Source organism: Homo sapiens, chromosome 15 (assembly GCF_000001405.40).
Source record: "Homo sapiens chromosome 15, GRCh38.p14 Primary Assembly".
NCBI lineage: Eukaryota > Metazoa > Chordata > Mammalia > Primates > Hominidae > Homo > Homo sapiens.
The window spans coordinates 82,770,951-82,791,702 of NC_000015.10; the positions used below are offsets into that span (position 1 = coordinate 82,770,951).

General features: G+C 44.5%; 1 protein-coding gene across 9 annotated transcripts in view, besides 1 other annotated feature; it reads right to left on the reverse strand.

The window, feature by feature from the left end:
* Window positions 1-20,752, reverse strand: part of FSD2 (fibronectin type III and SPRY domain containing 2) — a 50,708-nt gene that overhangs the window by 15,589 nt on the left and 14,367 nt on the right. For 7 of the 9 annotated variants that reach the window (NM_001281806.2, NM_001007122.4, NM_001281805.2 and 4 more), the window contains 6 exons: window positions 15,802-16,518; window positions 15,561-15,656; window positions 11,845-12,075; window positions 9,295-9,317; window positions 7,816-7,937; window positions 1,123-1,278 (listed from right to left, as the gene is read on the reverse strand). In NM_001281806.2, the coding sequence (NP_001268735.1) occupies window positions 1,123-1,278; window positions 7,816-7,937; window positions 9,295-9,317; window positions 11,845-12,075; window positions 15,561-15,656; window positions 15,802-16,440 (1,267 nt within the window). In that variant the 5' untranslated portion in view covers window positions 16,441-16,518. Of the gene's footprint in view, window positions 1-139; window positions 219-1,122; window positions 1,279-7,815; window positions 7,938-9,294; window positions 9,318-11,844; window positions 12,076-15,560; window positions 15,657-15,801; window positions 16,519-20,752 lie in introns of all 9 variants that reach the window. The other 2 variants (XM_017021924.3, XM_011521235.4) reach the window with 2 other exon arrangements.
* Window positions 11,287-11,452: a silencer, noted in NCBI's record as "fragment chr15:83450989-83451154 (GRCh37/hg19 assembly coordinates)". NCBI's record gives its function as "represses an EF-1alpha promoter that drives an FKBP-Casp9 reporter gene in an ReSE screen in HepG2 liver carcinoma cells {active_cell/tissue: HepG2}" and the evidence as "EXISTENCE:reporter gene assay evidence [ECO:0000049][PMID:32094911]".

Consider the following 20,752-nt stretch of genomic DNA (forward strand, 5'->3'; position numbering starts at 1 on the left):
CAAAAGCTGGGGTTAATCAAGTCTGACTTCCTAGTCCCCAACCCCCCTTTTCAAAGCTCCTCGCCCCTCTCCATGTCCTCTTTAGTCCTTATTCTGACCACTCTCACCCTCCCTCATCATCACTTAAATTTACTCTTACTTTTCTCAAGAATTCCCCTTCTTTCCTGGGCAGAAACACCATCCTCAGCTTCTGGAACTCAGCCCTCCACCTGCATGGTCTGGTACAATGAGCAGAACTTGAGGCAGGACGCCTACACACCTGATTCACGTCCTTGTTCTGCCATAACTCACTGTGTCCTCACAGACAGCTTCTTTCTCTCTGACTCTCAGTTTCCTCATCCATAAAATGGAGATCTCTAAGTCTCTTTCCAGCAATCCCACTTCAACCCCACATGCCCAGGACAGGTGCTGTCAGGCTGGCCCTGGTCCCTTGAAATCTTCACATGTTCAGCTGGGGCTCTTCTGTTGTCTGACCCTCCCTCCTTAAGAAAGAATGGCTTATTGATTATTGTAGTATGGGGGGCCCTACCCCAGCTGTAACCCCACACCAGCCAGTCCCATTTCCGGGGAAAAGGATGTTGGCCAAGAGCTGCCCAGAGTGGAGGCCGGGGGCCATCTCAGGAGTTGTCTTCTCCTGGGAACGTGGAGCTGATCACCAGCAGCCCTTCCAGGCTGCAGAGGCCCCCTCACCCCTCATGGGGTCTGCAGATGAATCCTCCAGTTTCTTCTGCAGCACAAGGCTGCTATGAGAAGAGCACCAGCCTGACCCTCAGATGCCAGGACAAGCTAGAACCCAGCCAGCCCAGCAGGGCCTCCTTGACAAGGGGCACCCCTGGCCCCTCCTGCACACAGGGCAGCCAGAGACTGGTCCCAGGGACAACTCTGACCCAATGGCTGTAGATATGCTCCAGACCCCTTCGCCTGGCCTTGCTGTCCTTCCCAGTCAGGCCCCAGCGTGCCTTGCTAGCCCTTTCTGCCCTGTTCACCTGCCTGCATCCAATCCTCTGCATGTCTAGACCCATCCTGTCTCTACCATCCCAACTGCCAGGAAGACAGGGCCCAGGCCCCTGAGGGGCCTGAACTGTTCCCATGAGCACGGGCATGTTCCTGGCAGAGCCTCACCTGCTTGGTCCGTCCCAGGTGAGCTGTCCTGCACTGGCCGGTAGGACAGCTGATAGCTCTCCACAGTGTCGTCGGAGTATAAGCTCCAGCACACTCGGACTGAGGAACCTGTGGCTGAGTTAGGGACCTGTGGATTTATGACTGGAGCAGAAGGAGCTAGGAAAAGAAAAGAAAAAAGAAGAGGAACCTCTAATAGAGGTGTGGGGTGACAGTGGCCCCTTTCCCATGACCATTGATCCCCCCAATGAATCCACAGCCTTTGGGAATGGAAGAGAAAGTCCAGAGTAGACAAGGATGGGGACATACAGCCTCTCAACCATGAGTCTGCAAAATACAACCAGTATATCTATTCTTGCTTTGACAAGTGCAGATGAGCTTAAGGAGCAGGGGTCGGTGACAGGGACTCAGGCCAAGGCATAGATTGCGAGTCCTGCTCCAGGTTGTGGGTCCTCTGGCCCTTCCGTGGCACCTAAAGAGGCAGGACAACCGGGATCACAGCACTGCTGCCTCAGCAGAGACAAAGAAGCCTTCAGCAAGGAGGCTCTGCTTTCATTGATGGTATGGGGAAAGGGGGCATCCAGGGAACATCTCCCACATTAATGAGAGAAGATTGGGGTGGCCCAATTGTGATTTTCAGAACCAACTTCTTTAGAGTCCATCTACTAAGTTAATTCTTTTCTTCTCTGTAGGTGAATACTTCTATCTCCCCCACCCCTATACAGTCTCACACACACAACCAAGAATAAGAACAAGTGGTGTGTTTCCTCCATAATTCTTTTTTTTCTCTGTCTTTGAGACAAAGTCTTGCTCTGTCACCCAGGCTGGAGTGCAGTGACGTAATCTCGGCTCACTGCAGCCTCCACATCCCGATTCAAGTGATTCTTGTGCCTCAGCCTCCTGAGTAGCTGGGACTACAGGCTCACACCACCACGCCCAGCTAGTTTTTGTATTTTTAGTAGAGACAGGGCTTCGCCATTTTGGCCACGCTGGTCTCGAACTCCTGATCTCAAGTGATCTGCCTGACTCTGCCTCCCAAAGTGCTGGGATTACAGGTGTGAGCCACTTGTGCCCGGTCCTTTCCTCCATAATCCTTCTCCCATGGCAGCATCTCCATCCCAGACTTTTAATATCCTTAGTTTCAAAGGTTGAAATTGATCAACCCATGTAAGAGCACAGCTGAACTTAAAGGAGTTGACTTAGTTTTGGTTCATCCTTTGCTTTCTGATCAGGGGCTGAAAGATCGTAATGTGACAGAGGTGAGGAGGAAGACAATAACTTATATCCCCAGTGACAAAGTCCAGGGTGCACAACAGATGCCCTGCTAGACGCTGTCAAATACAGCTTCACCTGGAGATGCAGCGTAAGAAAATGTATGGTTCTGGGAACTTTAAACCCCTCAGGAAGCACTAGATGCAGGCAGGAAGGTGATGATTTATGTGAGATCTGGACACAGAAAAGTGAAGAAAAATGTCACTGCTTCTCAAGCACGGATTTGGGCAATAGTGCTTTTCCTTCCCAATGACTAATGATCATTTGGGCAGCACCATTCCTAGATGGGGAAAAGAACCATCCAGTGGACGTCATAGCTCTGTGAAATCTCTCCTTGACCCAGTGATTCTAAGAATGGTCCCCAAGATCTATGATTAAAGATTTGCATTACAGTATGGTTTACAATGGTAAAAAAAAATTAGAAACACCCCAGTATCCAACAATTGAGGATTAAATAAATGAAAATATGTAGGCACTAAAGTGATATTGCAAAAGAATTTATCAGGGTGAGAAAATATCTATCAAAATTGTTTTGCTGAAAAAACAGCAGATTTCAAAACAGAATGACTCAATTTTTATAACAAAAATACTGTGCAAGGAAAAAACCTAAAATGCTGTACACAACATTGTCCACAATCATGTTGTTCAGTGTTGGTGAGAAGGGGAAAGCAAGCAGTTGAAAAATGAGGAATTACAGACTATCCTTATAAATAAGTAATCACAATAATATTTTATTTTATTTCAATTTTTTGAGACAGGCTCTTACTCTGTCACCCAGGCTGGAGTGCAGTGGGGCAGTCATAGCTCACTGCAGCCTTACTCTTGGGCTCAAGCAATCCTCCCACTTCAGTCTCCCAAGTAACTGGGGCTATAGGTGTACGGTGCCACACCAAGCTAATTTTTAAGATTTTTTTTGTAGAGATAGGGTCTTGCTATTTTGCCTAGGCTGGTCTTAAACTCCTGGGCTCTAGCAGTCTGCCCACCTCAGCCTCCCAAAGTGCTGGGATCACAGGCATGAGCCAGCACGTCTGGCCAACAATAATACTTTAAAGAGCTACTTGGCACCATGTAATATGTTGTACATAAGTTTTCTCATTTAATTCTTACCATATTCCTATGAGGTATTATGATGTCCATTTTTACAGATGAAGAAACCAAGACTCAGAGAGGTTAGGTGAATTGTCCAGAGTCACACTGCTAGGAAGTGGCAGAGTTGGGATTCTCATGAGCTCCATAGAATTCCAAAGCCCATCTCTTAACCTCTATGCTAAAAACAGATACCCAGGAGGAACCTCAGAGAGGTCAGCCTCTGTACTCACTTATGAGCTAAAGACAAAAATAGGAAGTTAGAGGGAAAAAAATACTTGTTTCTAAATCCTTTTTTTTTTTTTCTTTTTTTGAGACGGAGTCTCGCTCTGTCACCAGTTTGGAGTGCAGTGGTGCGATCTCGGCTCACCACAGTCTCCACCTCCCGGATTCAAGCCATTCTCCTGCCTCAGCCTCCCGAGTAGTTGGGATTACAGGCACGTGCCACCACAGCCAGCTAATTTTTGTATTTTTAGTAGAGACGGGGTTTCACCATGTCGGCCAGGATGGTCTCAATCTCCTGACCTCATGATCCACCCACCTCAGCCGTCCAAAGTGCTGGGATTACAGGCGTGAGCCACCGCGCCTGGCCTTGTTTCTAAATCTTTATTATTTTTTTCAGACATTGACATTTCCTACTCAAAGCTCAGGGGGTCTGCAGGGTTTTCTACAATAAAATCATATAATCCGACTGGCCATGGTGGCTCACGCCTGTAATCCCAGCACTTTGGGAGGTCGAGGCAGGTGGGTCACGAGGTCAGGAGTTTGAGACCAGCCTGGCCAACATGGTGAAACCCCGTGTCTAATAAAAATATAAAAAATTAGCCAGGCATGGTAGCGGGTGCCTGTAATCCCAGCTACTCGGGAGGCTGAGGCAGGAGAATCGCTGGAACCCAGGAGGCTGAGGTTGCAGTGAGCTGAGATCGCACCATTGCACTCCAACCTGGGTGACAGTGTGAGACTCTGTCTCAAAAAAAAAAAAAATTCATATAATTTGCAAACAGAGGCAATTTCCCTTTTTCCTTTTCAGTTTGGATGCCTTTCTATCTTTCTCTTGCCTAATTGCTCTGGCAAGGTCTTGTAGCACTACGTTGAATTGGAGTGTTGAGAGTGGGCATCTTTGTCTTGTTTCTGATCTTAGAGGAAAAGCTTTCAACTTTTCACCACTGAGTATGATGTTAGCTGTGGGATGTCATATATGACATTTTTTATAATGTTTGCTCTAATCTTTATTATTTCCTTTCTTCTGCAAAATTTGGGCTTAGCTTGTTCTTTTTCTAGTTTCTGGAGGTGTAAAGTTAGGTTGTTTATATGAGCTCTTTCTTTTTAATGTAGGCGCTTATTGCTATAAATTTCCCTTGTAGTACATCCCTTTTGCTGCATCCCATAAGTTTTGGTATGTTGTGTTTCATTTTCATTTATCTCAAGGTTTTTAAAATTCCCTTTTGATTTCTTCTTTGGCCCCTTGATTGCTCAGGAGTGTGTTGTGTAATTTCCACATATCTGTGAATTTTCCAATTTTTTCTTGTTATTGATTTCTAGTTTCATACCACTGTGGTCATAAAAGATACTTGAGGCCAGGCAGAGTGACTCAGGCCTGTAATCTCAGCACTTTGGGAGGCTGAGGTAGGAGGATTACTTGACACCAGAAGTTCAAGAACAGCCTGGGCAACATAGTGAGACCTCATCTCTACAAAAACATTGAACAAATTGTCTGGGTATGGTGGTGTGGGCCTGTAGTCCTAGCTACTTGGAAGGCTGAGGCAGGAGGATTTCTTGAGCCCAGGAGTTGGAGTTTGCAGTGAGCCATGATCACACCACTATACTCCAGGCTGGGCAACAGAGTGAAACCCTATTTCAAAATAGTAATGATAATAACAATAAAAGATACTTGATAGATTTCATTCTTTTTAAATTTGTTAAGGCTTGTTTTGTGGCGTAACATGTGATCTAGCCTGGAGAATGTTACATGTGTGCTTGGGAAGAATGTGTATTCTGCTGTTGCTGGATGGAATGTTTTGTACATGTCCATTAGGTCCATTTGATCTATAGTGTTAAAATGCATCAAAAAGAATAAAATACTTAGAAATAAACTTAACTGAGGAGGTGAAAGACTTGTATACTGAAAACTATAAAACACTGATGAAAGAAATTGAAGCAGACACAAAATAATGGAAAAGTATCCTACATTCATAGATTGGAAGAATTAATATTGTTAAAATGTCCATATTATGCCAAATGATCTACAGATTCAAGGCAATCCCTATCAAAATCCCAACAGCATTTTTTACAGAAATAAAAAAAAAATCCCCAAATGTATATGGAACCACAAAAGAACCCAAGTAGCTAAAGCCATCTTGGGAAAGACAAAGCTAGAGGCATCACACATTCTGATTTCAAAATATATTACAAAGCTACAGTAATTAAGACAGTATGGTACAGGCATAAGGACAGACACATAGACCAATGAAACAGAATTGAGAGCCCAGTAATAAACCCATCCAAATGATCTTTGCTAAGGGTGACAAGAACACACAATGGGGAAAGGATAGTCTCTTCAACAAATGGCATTCAGAAAACTATATCCACCTGCAGAATAATGAAATTTGATCCCTATCTTACACCAGAACAAAAGTAAACTCAAAATAGATTATTAAAGACTTAAATGTAAAACCCTGAAACTGTATAACTTCTTAAAGAAAACATAGGTGAATAGCTTCTTGACATTGGTCTTGGCAATGATTTCTTAGATTTGACACCAAAAGCACAAGCAACAAAACAAAAAATAGGCAAATGGCACTACATCATACTAAAATAGCTTTTGCATAGCAAAATAAACCATTAACAGAGTGAAGAAACAACCTGCAGAATAGAAGAAAATATTTGCAAACTATCTGATAAGAGACTAGTATACAAAAAAAATAAGAATCTTCTACAACTCAATAGCAAAAATCCAAACCGATTAAAAAATGGGCAAAGAACTTAAATAGATATTTCCCCAAAGAAGACATATAAATAGCCACCTTGTATATGAAAGAGTGCTCAATCTCTCTAGTTATCAGGAAAATGCGCATCAAAACCACAATGAGATATCACCTCATACCTGCTAGGATGATATTGTCAAAAAGTGAAAGGAGGCCGACCGCGGTGGCTCAGGCCTGTAATCCCAGCACTTTGGGAAGCTAAGGCAGTCAGATCACTTGAGGTCAGGAGTTTGAGACCAGCCTGGCCAACATGGTGAAACCCTGTCTCTACTGAAAATACAAAAAATTAGTGGAGCGTGGTGGCGGGTGCCTGTAATCTCAACTACTTAGGAGGCTGAGACTGGAGAATCACTTGAACCTGGGAGGTGGAGGTTTCAGTGAGCCAAGATCGTGCCACTGTACTGCAGCTTGGGTGACAGAGCAAGACTCTTTCTCAATTAAAAAAAAAAAAAAAGGTGAAAGGTAACAAATGGTGAGAATGTGGAGAACTGGAACCCTTATATACTGTTGGTGTGAATGTAAAATCATGCAGCCACCATGGAAAACAGTATAGTGGTTCCACAAAAAATTAAAAATAAGCTGGTTGTGGTGGTGTGTGCCTGTAGTTCTAACTACTCAGGAGGCTGAGGTGGGAAGATCATGTGAGCCCAGGAATTTGAGGCCAGCCTGGGCAACATAGCAATACCCTGTCTCTGAAAAAAAAACACAAAAAAACCATATATATATATATATATATATATATATATAATAACTATTACATGATCTAGTAATTCCTGGGTATGTATTCACCAGAACTGAAATCAAGATCTCAAAGATACCTGTGTTCCATGTTCATTGCAGCATTATTCACAATAACCAAGACATGGAAACAACCTCAATGTCCATCAATAGATGGATGGATTTTAAAAAGTATGTGTGTGTATACATATGGAATATTATTCAGCCTTAACAAAGAATGAAGTTTTACCATCTGTGACAACATGGATGAATCTTGAGGACATTATGCTAAGTGACATTAGCCAGTCACAGAAGGACAGATACTCCATGATTCCACTTACATGCAGTATATAAAGCAGTCAAACTCTTAGAAGCAGAGAACGGAATTGTGGTTGCCAGGGGCTTGGGGGAAGGGGAAACGGGGAATTGTTGCTCAATGGATACAAAGATTAGTTATACAAGATGGGTAAGTTCTAGAGGTATGCTGTACAACACAGTACCTGTATTTAACAATATTGTATTGTACACTTTAAAATTTGTTAAGAGGATAGATCTCATGCTAAGTGTTCTCATCACAAGAAAGAAAAAAGCTCTGGGTAGTCTGAACCTGCCGCGAAGTACACACACAGGTGAGCACCTGGAATGGTGTTAATGGAGCCCATCAGCTGCTCCACATCAGAGAAATCCAAGGTCTGGTCTTCAAACTCAGGCTGTGCAGAGATTTCCACGTCTGTTTTTGTTTTCAGGAATTTCCCGAGTCTGTTGGTATAAAAAGACATGCTGACTAGAATGGAGGGGCATTCTCCTTAGGGTATATATATAGTGCTGAGTCACTGTCATAAATGAAGAGGGGCTCTTTGCTGAACTTTCATTTAGTTACAAACAGCTGCTGGCTGCCATCTACCATCTTTTTTGGAGATTGACCTAGGGGTCATCAATGGGGATGGGTGGGATTGGTTTGTGCCTTTGAGGGAGAGGAGAAAGGGTAAGGTCATGTCAGAGGGTGGGTAGAGGGCGATCTGCCAACAAGATCCAGAACCACACCCTCTGGAAGATCTCTTAGGTGCTAACCTGGGAGTTCCCACTCTCAAGTCACTCCAGGCCCAAGAGGTACTGAGGGTCCAGACTCCCCAGGCTTCCTCTCCACATGGTCAAGTGCCCTCAAGTTGCTGATCATGGGACTCGGGGTCTCCTTGTATCTGCTTCCTGGCAGTCACAAGGTTTGTAAATGGCAGAGGCAGAATTTGAAACCAGGGCCAGGCATGATGGCTCACACCTGTAATTCCAGCACTTTGGGAGGCCAAGGCAGGCAGAGCACCTGAAGTCAGGAGTTCAAGACCAGCCTGGCCAACATGGTGAAACTCCGTCTCTACTAAAAATACAAAAAAATTAGCCAGGATGGTGGGGGACACCTGTAATCCCAGCTATTTGGGAGGCTGAGGCAGGAGAATCACTTGAACCTGGGAGGCAGAGGTTGCAGTGAGCTGAGACCTTGCCATTGCACTCCAGCCTGGGCAACAAGAACGAAACTGTCTCAAAAAAAAAAAAAAAAGAATTTGAAACCAGTTCCATCTTTGCCAAAATCCCTGCAGGGATTACATTATGAAATCTCTATGTTCATGTTGCTTTATGGACATTTATTTTATTTGATTCTCACAAAGCTATCCTCATTTGTAGATAAGGTGTCTTCTAGACTGATTAGATTTGCTCAAGGTCATGAGGGTAGCAGGATTTGAACTGCTATCTGTCTGATTCTAAAATGTGCACACTTTCTGCAACTGGACAGTCTGGGTCCAGGCATAGTGGGGGGATGTTGGGGGTACTCCACAGATCTCAGTTCTTTCTGGTGAAATGAGGGGCTTGTGGAGGAGAGCTGCCCACAGGCTTGCTGACTGAGCCTCACCGTACACGCTCCCTACTAGCCCTGAGATCCTGAGATTCAATACTAGATGCTCCTAGTGACTGCACACCATCATTCCAAAGCCAGTGCTAATTTAATCAGGATTGACACAAAAGCTGAAACTGGAACCGTATAACCAAATGGAACTGAGTCTATTTGGATAACTAAAGTTGAAAAAAGTAAAAAAAGAAATACATACTAGAACAAATGTATTACCTGTCAGCCATAGCCACTGCATCCTAAAAAGGAAAAAGAGAAAATATTAAGTTGATTTTGGAAATAAATTTCTTTTTTCTTTTTCTTTCTTTCTTTTTTTTTTTTTCTTAAATGGAGTCTCACTCTGTCCCCCAGGCTGGAGTGCAATGGCACAATCTCGGCTCACTGCAACCTCCGCCTCCCAGGTTCAAGGGATTCTCCTGCCTCAGCCTCCCAAGTAGCTGAGATTACAGGCACGCACCACCACACCCAGCTAATTTTTGTATTTTTAGTAGAGACAGCGTTTTACCATATTGGCCAGGCTGGTCTCGAACCCCTGACCTTGTGATTTGCCCACCTCGGCCTCCCAAAGTGCTAGGGTTACAGGCATGAGCCACCGTGCCTGGCTGGAAATAAATTTCTTTTACCAACATATTGTTATAAATAGATAGATAGATATAACTATATATGTGATAATACATATTGTCACATCATATATATAAGATAGTTATATAATAATTGATATAACTAAATATATATAATAACATAAACATAGAAGAAAACTTGGAAATTAGGAAAAAGTTAAAAAGCCCAGCTGTATCCCATACCGTAACAAAACCACCCTTATTTCTGTGCATTTTCTTCCATACCACAGTACTGCTTTTCCCCATCAACTTTGTCATGTGCCTGTGGTCCTAGCTCCTTGGGAGGCTGAGGCAGGAGGATCATCTGAGCCCAGGAGTTCAAGGCTGCATTGAGCTATGATCACACCACTCTCCTCCAGCCCAAGCAACAGAGCTAGACCCTGTCTCAAAAGAAAAACCAACAACAAAAAACCCACACTATGTAAGCACTTTCCATGTAGTAAATGGTCTTTTGGGCCATCAGCTTGAACACTTGCATAACAGTTAATTGTGAACAGTTAATGAATGGAAACGCCATCATTTACTTGATGGTTCTTCTCTTGTTGGACATTTTGTTGTTTCCAGCTTTTCACCATCATACATAACAGTGAGAAGCCCACCTTCATGTTTATCACTTTCTCCATGTTCTGCATATGGTGGGCCCACTAGTTCAAGAGGTATGAGCATTGATGGTTCTTGCAGTGCCTGCCAAATTGCTCTCCAGCTTTATTCGCTGGCCCCTCACCCCAGGCACAGCAGAAAGGAGGCATGGTTGGGCTTTGAGGGGCGACTGTACTCTTGGACAATGTGGGGGCCATATTTAGCAACCAGGAAGCTCTGGAGGCTGAAGGCCCCTCCCCCACGCCCTGGACACCACATCTTCCCCCTCCTCCTGTGGCACCTTGTGAAGAAATCTGACTGAGATTGAAATTCCCATAGCCTAGCCATGTAGAGGGTTGGGTCAGATTTAATTTGTTTTCAAGAAAATTAGGAAATGGATTTTTTTTGCATGTCTGAGTTCGTGAAGTAAGATTTTTAATTGCTACACTTGTAACTGGGAAATTTAAGGTGCCTTTTCAGCCTTGACAACTTTCTCCCCAGAGCTCCAAGAGGCCATCTGAGGTGGCTGGAAAACTCTTAGAGCACTCTTGGCCGGGCGCGGTGGCTCACGCCTGTAATCTCAGCACTTTGGGAGGCCGAGGCAGGTGGATCACGAGGTCAGAGGTTCGAGACCAGCCTGACCAACATGGTGAAACCCCGTCTCTACTAAAAAAAAAAATACAAAAATTAGCTGGGCGTGGTGGCGGGTGCCTGTAATCCCAGCTACTCAGGAGGCTGAGGCAGGAGAATTGCTTGAACCCGGGAGGAAGAGGTTGCAGTGAGCCGAGATCGTGCCACTGCACTCCAGCCTGGGCAACAGAGCGAGACTCCATCTCAAAATAATAATAATAATAATAATAATAATAATAATAATAATAAAACTCTTGGCCGGGCATGGTGGCTCACGCCTGTAATCCCAGCACTTCGGGAGGCCAAGGTGGGCGGATCACGAGTTCAGGAGATCAAGACCATCCTGGCTAACACAGTGAAACCCCGTCTCTACTAAAAATACAAAAAAAAAAATTAGCTGGGCTTGGTGGCGAGCGCCTGTAGTCCCAGCTACTAGGGAGGCTGAGGCAGGAGAATGGCGTGAACCCAGGAGGCAGAGCTGGCGGTGAGCCGAGATCGCGCCACTGCACTCCAGCCTGGGCAACAGAGTGAGACTCCGTCTCAAAAAAACCAAACCAAAACAAAACAAAACAACAACAACAAAAAACTGTTAGAGCACGGTTTTTGCTCAGCTTAGCTCCAGGATGAGGGAACAGGTATCTGGGTGACCAGAACAGAGGAACAAAGACTGGTGCTGCCTCTGCGCTGGGGGAGGGAGAGAGTCTGCGCTGTGAGTCCGCCTGGCCACTCACGTGGAAGCCATGCAGAGAGATTGGGCCACAGCCTCCCCATCACGATCATCCAGTGGAATCAAATGGATGCTGGCCATAAAAGTCGATTCCAATGCCTCCAGGAGGAAAGAGGACAACCTAGCTTACCTCAACCATAACTGTCGTTTCCGTTTATAATTCCATCTCTTTCCATTATGTTCATTATTTCATTTTGTTTCATTACTGACCTTTATGAAATCCACCTTCTCCTCGTGACACATCTCCTCTATTGTTTCCATCAGTTCTTTGCAAGTATCTAGGTTTTCTCCACAGCTGACCAGTTGTCCATATAAGGCTTCCAGCTTCTCTTTCTTTTTCTCCCCTAGAGCTTGTATTTTTTCCTCATATTTTTGAGCAAGTGTTTCCAAGATCTCGTTGTAATGTGACTCAAAGTTTTGTTCTTGTTTTCCAAAATTCTCCTGCAAGACAGTTGATCTCAGTCATCATTTCAGCGCATGTAGTGTGTTGATTAGAGTCTTTTGTTTTTTGTTTTTTTGTTTGTTTGTTTTTGAGACACAGTCTTGCAGTGTTGCCCAGGCTGGAGTACAGTAGTGTGATCTTGGCTCATTGCAACCTCTGCCCCCCAGGTTAAAGTGATTCTCCTGCTTCAGGCTCCTGAGTAGCTGGGATTACAGGTGTGCATCACCATGCCCGGCTAATTTTTGTATTTTTAGTAGAGATGGGGTTTCATCATATTGGCCAGGTTGGTCTTGAACTCCTGACCTCAAGTGATCCGCCTGCCTCAGCCTCCCAAAGTGTTGGGATTACAGGCAAGAGCCACCACGCCCAGCCTGATTAGAGTCATTAGAGAAATGAAAATATGTGCCTATCAGAACTATTTTAGTTCCTCTACTTTGTCCTCTCATCTCTTGTTGGGAGTTGGAATGGAAACTGGAGGTGCTGGAACATAGGTGTCTCCGGCCTAGACTCCAGGAATAATCTAAACAAAAGCACTGCTTTCTCTCCTGGCAGCATTTTGCAATCCAGTTCCAGTTTCAACTACCTTCTATCACCATGACAAGTGACCAGGGAGATTATCAGTGATGATTCTGCCCGATATTGGACCTTAATGTGGAAATATTTTCCCTGAGAGATTCCCATCTATCATTCTCTCCTGAGCTCTTAACATCTCATGAGGCTCCTCTTCACTCCCTGGTGCTTGGATCATACAAATATCAAGATTAAATCAACTAGGATCATATCAACTAGGGGAGAAATGAAGGCAAAGGAGGAACAAGGGTTGTGGTCTGGCGGCACTGCTTACAGATGAGAAGATGCAAGAGGGCAGAGGGAGGGTTCTGACAATATTAATCCAGGAGCACAGTAGATGAGAAATATTAATATTAATAGAGTATATATTGCTTATATTGTCCCCAGAGCTCTGCAAGCTCTGATGGATGTCATCCTCATCAGATGATGGGGACATTTCCAAGGAAGAGGATCTTATCAATCATTCAGGGAGTAATTACTGAACACCTGCTATGTGCACAGGACTTGCTCAGAATGGTGGAAGAGAGAGAAAGGCAATAGATGAACTTCCCAGTGTTGAGTATGAAAGGATGGCCACTGAGGATGAAGGGACTTTGATCTGAGAGTAAGCTGGCAGAGCAGCATGTAAGAAGTTTTTTATTTTATTTTATTTTATTTTATTTTTTTTTTATGGAGCCTCATTTTGCCACCCAGGTTGGAGTGCAGTGGAGCGATCTCAGCTCACTGCAACCTCTGACTCCTGGGTTCAAGTGATTCTCCTGTCTCAGCCTCCCAAGTAGCTGGGATTACAGGCACCCACCACCAAGCCCAACTAATTTTTTTTGTATTTTTAATAGAGATGGGGTTTCACCATCTTGGCTAGGCTGGTCTCGAACTCCTGACCTCAAGTGATCTGCCACCTTGGCCTCCCAAAGTGCTGAAATTACAGGCGTCAGCCACTGTGCCCGGCCAATGTAAGAAGTTTTGTCTTCGATGTTGTACACTTACCCCCTTCTACCACTACCCTATGCTTGGCAGTGGAAGGGTTTGCCACTTCTCTGTATCTTCCATGGGGGATTAGTGCAATAGCTCTCCTCCCTTGTAAGATTGGGGCTGGAAAAGGTCTACCTTCATGGGAAATGGGCCTGGGGCTTCGTTGATTCATATAAGATCCTCCTGTTGGTACCATCCGAAGCTGCATTAATAGAAGTAGAGCATCCGCATGAAGAGAAGAGAGAGGGCAAGTCCTAAGCTCCTCAGTCCTGGTTGACCTCATCTGGAAGGTTGGGTTGAGCTCTGGCATCATAGTGGTTACCATGTATCTACTAGGGCACACACAGGGGACTGTGGCATGTTTGGTGACAGGCATGGAAACTTATTAATCTTATGAGAAATAGATATCAGCTGAGGAAAAGAACACTTACCAAAAACGGGATGGGTATCCTGTAATACCTTGTCAAGGCTGAACCGTGAAAGAGGAGCTAGTCTTATTCTGTGTAGCTCTAGGGGCCAATATGACTAGTGGACAAAAGTTACAGAGCCACACCACACCTTCTATCTCAGTCGTCTTGGCATCTGGATCAAGGCTCACATTCTTACCCATGTCAAGATTGGGAGGGAGAGGGGCTGTCAAAGAATAGAAACTCCTTTCCAATCCTAGAATTCTAAGCTTTTACTGATCTCTCAGAAAAGTCTGGAAATTGCTAACTAGACAAAGGCAATACATTATTTATTTATTTATTTATTTATTTATTTATTTATTTATTTGAGATGGAGTCTCGCTGTGTTGCCCAGGTTGGAGTGCAGTGGTGTGATCTCGGCTCACTGCAACCTCTGCCTCCCGGGTTCCAGCAATTCTCCTGCCTCAGCCTCCCAAGTAGCTGGGACTACAGGCACATGGCACCACACCCAGCTAATTTTTTATTAGTAGTAGAAATGGGATTTCACCATGTTGGCCAGTCTGGTCTCGAACTCCTAACCTCAGGTGATCCACCCGCCTTGGCCTCCCAAAGTGCTGGGATTACAGGCGTTAGCCACCGTGCCCAGCCATAAATTTATTTTTTAAATGCATGCAGAGCTAAAAATATTCCTTTGTTTGAGTAGCGATCATTGGCAGAAGTGGGTATTTTGCCTCTTAGAACAACAAAAAAGTGTTTGACAGTCTACACCTGACTTTATATAGTCAACATTATAGGTACCCCCAAAAGCCTAAAATTAACAACTCCCGAAACCAACGGAACAACATGGAACTCCACTGTTTCTGGTTTCTCCGCCAATGCACCAGATAGCAACCCGGGGATTCTCAGTAAGAACTTCTACCCCAAAAAAAGAGGTCCAAAACAAATAAACAAACCCAAAAAGACAAGGGCAAAAGAAAGGATGTCCCCTCTTCACCACCTGGGCTCAAATGAGGGAATTCACTGGATGATGCCACCGTGAAGTCATCTTTGTTAGAATAAGGGTCTATCAAGTTGAATGATGAAAACAGTATACATTAAAAAAAGAATTCGAATAAGGGTCTAAATCACATACAATTGGTGATTTGGGTAAAGGGGGATTAGGAGAAAATGAAGCCAGTGAAGGAGAGGGATTGTGATTGGGAAATTTCTACCTTATTTACTCATGCAACAAACATGTATAAAATGCCTGCTCTGAAACATACCATGTAGTAGGACTAGGGATATTGAGACAGACGACCCAGCTTTCACACCAAGAGCTTATAGTTCAGCAGGGAATGCTGACAGGTAATTGGTTCCATGACGTCCATGCCCAGGTGCTATGGGAGGTCAGTGAAAGAAGGGAGGAGAGAAGGGGGAGTGGTGACCCCTCACATTCTAAGAAAACAGATTCTCTAGCTCATACCAGAAACAGCTGCTTGACATAGCCATTGATGGAAGAAATGTGAGTCTGATGAGGTCTTCAAGTGTGCTCTTACCTCCACAGTGATGAAAACCTCCTCCAAATGATTTGCAAAGTTTTCCATCTCAATTATCTGCTTTTCCAATTTGTACATGTTTTTGTGAATTTCATCCTATCCAACAGAGGATCACAAAGAAGGTATTAATGTTACATCTTCTCTCACTCTTGTAGAAGGCGTTTTAGATTTATTCCCTGCGTATGTACTTGAGATACCAAAGCAATATCAAGACAGAGAAGAACCAAGGACACCTATTTACCTTGGCACTTTCCAGTGCTTCATTGAGTGGGATCACTTCATGCTCCTTATGTTCATCAAAAACCTTCTGAAAAGCTCTTATTGGAGTCTTACAAGTGACACAGAAGACATCAGCAGCTTCTTCTTCATCCTCTTCCTCGGGGATGACATAGCATTCATACTCCTCGCTGGCACGGCCGTGTGTGTACCTATAGGCTTCCCGCAAGTCCTGGCACTGGCCTGCTGAGCCCCACCCTCCGAAGCCCAGGTCCTCGGCCTCCGCTGCCTCTCCACTAAGTCTCCAGTCTCTCTGCTCCCTGGCTGGGTCTCTCCTCTTCATCATATAAGGAGGATATTCTGAAACCCCTGTTCTGGGTATGTTTTCATCAACAAACTCATCCCCTAATTCATGATCATCTTCAAGTCCATATAAGTGGACAAGTTCATCCACTTCCTCTTGAAGGTCTCTTTGAGCCTTACCATCCCCTGCTCCTCTTGACTCATTGGCCATTTCAGCTTGGACTACTTTCCTCATCCTAGTGTTCTCTTCTGGAAAGAGGTGCAGTCTGTCTTCAGAGTCATACAGGTCCATGTGGTAAAAGTGGAAATCCTTGGGAGTAGACCTGTCCAGCCCCAGTTCCTCCCCCGATTCCTCCTCCATTGTAACTCTGGAAGTCCTCAGAAGCACCTTTATATAAGAAAGATCCTTCCTGGACACTTAATAGTGAATATCTGGGCCCTGGAACACAAAAGGAGGAGGAAAATCATTTCTGGAGAAGGGCATTGCAGTAGATGATCATTAGATTGGGCTCTACTCATATAAAACTTTAAAAAAATTATCTGTGTAGTTCAGTCGTGGTTTCACTTTGAACCATCTTTAAAAAATTTGTTTTCTATGGGAGGATGGGCTTTCTAAGGTTAAAAGAGACAAAAGAAATTACAAAAGAAATGTCTAATAGATATGTCCAACAAAATACTTCCCTCATACATTAAAAAAAAAACTTAAAAGGCAAAATAATGGGAAGCATCTCAGGCAATTATTATTATTATTATTATTAATTTATTTTTGAGATGGAGTCTCACTCTGTCACCCAGGCTAGAGTGCAGTGGCATGATCTCGGCTGACTGCAGCCTTTGCCTCCAGGGTGCAAGCAATTCTTGTGCCTCCACCTCCCAACTAGCTGGGATTACAGGTATGTGCCACCACACCCAGCTTATTTTTGTATTTTTGGTAGAGACGGGTTTTCACTATGTTGGAACTCCTGACCTCAGGTGATTCACCCACCTCAGCCTCCCAAAGTGCTGGAATTACAGGCATGAACCACTGCGCCCAGTCTATTATTTTTAAATTGTATAAATTAATTGAAAAAGTGGCATCTCAATAGATGAATGTGCACAGACAATTCACAAAACAATTACTTTTGTATATGATAGCACCTGCACAAAAACATTTGAAAAAAACTGTACTTAAAAGTAACAGAACAGGCCTGGCGTGGTGGCTCATGCCCATAATCCCAGTACTTTGGGAGGCTGAGGCAGATGGATTGCTTGAGCTCAGGAGTTCGAGATCGTCCTGGGCAACATGGCAAGACCCTGTCTCTACCAAAAATACAAAAAAAAAAAAAAATGCCAGGCATAGTGGTGTGCACGTGTGGTCCCAGCTACTTGGGAGGCTGAGGTGGGAGGATCACTTGAGCCTTGAGGGGTGGTGGTTGCAGTGAGCCTAAATCACACCACTGCGCTCCAGCCTGGGTGACAGAGCAGGACCCTGTCTCAAAAAAAAAAAAAAAAAAAAAAAGTGACAGAACAAATAAGTAGATGCTGTTTTGCCTTTTCAGTTAGAAAATATTTAAAAATATCAAAAGTGATACCCGCAGCTGGATAAGGGGACAGTGAAGTGAGCACTCTCATATGCTGCCGGCTAGAATGTAAACTGGCCCCACTTTTCTGAAGAGCAAGCTTGGCAACCTGGGTCAGGAACCTTAAAGATGTTCACACTTTCAGCAGGGTGTGGTGACTCATGCCTGTAATCCCAGCACTTTGGGAGGGCAAGGCAGGAGGATTGCTTGAGGCCAGGAGTTTGAGACCAGCCTAGGCAACACAGTGAAACCCCATGTCTACAAAAAATTTAAGCATTTGCCAGGTGTGGTGGTGCATGCCTGTAGTCCCAGCTACTAGGGAGGCTGAGGCAGTGAGCCATGATTGCGCCAGTGTACTCCAGCCTGGGCGACAGAGCAAGACTCTGTCTAAAAAAAAAAAAAAAGTGTTCATACTCTCTAGCCTGTTCATACTCTCTCTAACCTAGTAATCCTCTTCTGGAACCTTGAGGAAAAATCCCAAATACAAGGAAAAAAATTATTTTATGTAAAAATGCCCACTACAGAATTTTTTTAAGTAGCAAAAACTTTTGTTTTTGAAAAGGTTTAATGATTAGGAGAAGGGCTAAGTAAACTCGGGGATGTACACTACATAGAATACAAAGCAGCCTTCAAAATGTTTATGGAGAGCAAATGATAACTTGGAAAAAGACATACAATATGATGTTAAGCAAAATAAACAGAATGCCCATTATATGTAGAATATCATGTCCACTATTTTAATGAAGTACATAAAGTCTAGAAGGATATAATAATAATAATAATAATAATAATAGTAAATACAATATTAGTAATAGCTACTACTTCTTGAACACTTATCGTATGCCTTTTCTGTGTTAGGCAGTTTATATATACATTATCCTCACATCGACCCTATGTGGCAGGCACTGCTATCATCCCCATTTTGTAGATGAGTCAACTGTGTCTCAGGGAGGGTATCTTGTGCAAGGCCACACAGTTAGTATATTGTTGAACTGGGATTTGAGCCTTAATCGGTGTGGCAGCTATAAGACTGTGCTTCACAGATATCCAACTACAGGGAGTGTAATTGACTGGAGGTTTCAGTTGCCCTCTGAAGTTCATTGCTGCATAGCATGCTTGCCACAAACATCTGCCATCCAGTGACAAGCACAGCCAGGAATTCTAAGGCAGATCCATTTCTGGTTGATACAGAACTCCTCTGAGCCCTCCTCTAGTTCCAATTACTCAGGAGGCTAAGGTGGGAGGATCACTTGAGGCCAGAGTTCAAGACCAGCCTGGGCAACATAGCAAGACCCTGTCTCTTAAAATACAAACAGAAGGCTGGGTGCCTGTAATCCCAGCACTTTTGGAGGCCAAGATGGGCGGATCATGAGGTCAGGAGTTCGAGACCAGCCTGACCAATGCGGTGAAACCCTGTCTCTACTAAAAACACAAAAAATTAGCCAGTTGTGGTGGCAGGTGCCTGTAATCCCAGCTACTCAGGAGGCTGAGGCAGGAGAATTGCTTGAACCAGGGAGGCGGAGGTTGCAGTGAGCCATGACTATGCCACTGAACTCCAGCCTGGACAACAGAGCGAGACTCCGTCTCAAACAACAACAACGACAACAACAACAACAACAACAAACAAACAAACAGTTCTCTGATGGCCAGAGGAGTTGGCTGGAGGATTCTCTGACAGCCTCACCAAGGCTTTCTTAGACCTCATGGTAGTCTAGGATACTTGCCTGAATCTTCCCTGAACCTTCCCTCTTGCTCTCCTTCAGCCAGGGTCAGACTTACATCATGGTCTGGCAGCTCTTCCAGCCTTTCCTAGCTGCCTCCCCATTTTATTGCTCACACAGGTATTTCCTCTAATAAAATTATTTTCCATCTTATGCCTGCTTCTTGGAGAACGAGATTAACACAGTCGGTTGGACTCCAAAGTCCATGCTTTCTTCCTGGCACAGAGCTGCCATTTGTGTGTGTGTGTGTGTGTGTGTTCGTGCGTGTGTGTGTGTGTGTGTTTGAGACAGAGTCTCACTCTGTCGCCTAGGGTGGAGTCCAGTGGCGCGATCTCGGCTCACTGCAACCTCCGCCTCCCGGGTTCACGCCATCCTCCTGCTTCAGCCTCCCTAGTAGCTGGGACTATAGGCGCCCGCCACCATGCCCAGCTAATTTTTTTTTTTTTTTTGTATTTTTAGTAGAGACAGGGTTTCACTGTGTTAGCCAGGATGGTCTCGATCTCCTGACCTCGTGATCCGCCCACCTCGGACTCCCAAAGTGCTGGGATTACAGGTGTGAGCCACCACGCCCGGCCCATTGTGTTTTATTAATTCTTTTTTGTAACAGTTTTATCGAGGTATAATTCATATACCATACAATTCACCTGTTAAAAATGTATACTTTAGTGGTTTCGTTTTTTGTTTGTTTTGTTGTTGTTGCTTTTTTTGAGGCGGAGTCTCGCTTTGTCACCCAGGCTGGAGTGCAGTGGCGCGATCTTAGCTCACTGCAAGCTCCGCCTCCCGAGTTCACGCCATTCTCCTGCCTCAGCCTCCCCAGTAGCTGGGACTACAGGCGCCCGCCACCATGCCCAGCTAATTGTTTGTATTTTTAGTAGAGATGGGGTTTCACCGTGTTAGCCAGGATGGTCTCGATCTCCTGACCTTGTGGTCCGCCCGTCTCGGCCTCCCAAAGTGCTGGGATTACAGGCGTGAGCCACCGCACCCGGCAATTCAGTGGTTTTTAGTATACTCACACATATGTGCAGTGATCACCACAGTCAATTTCACAGCATGTATTTTTAAATTTTTAAAATTTTTTTGAGACATGGTCTCCCTCTGTCACCCAGGCTGGAGTGCAGTAACACCATCTTGGCTCACTGCAACCTCTGCCTCCCGGGCTCAGGTGATCCTCCCACCTCAGCCTCCCAAGTAGCTGGGACTACAGGCACTTGCCGCCATGCCTGGCTAACTTTTTAATTTTTTTTTTAGAGACGGGGTCATGCCATGTTGCCCAGGATAGTCTTGAACTCCTGAGTTCAAGGGATTGCCCACCTCAGCCTCCCAAAGTGCTGAGATTACAGGAGTGAGCCACTGCGCCCGGCTGTAATTTTAGAGCATTTTTATCACCTCAAAA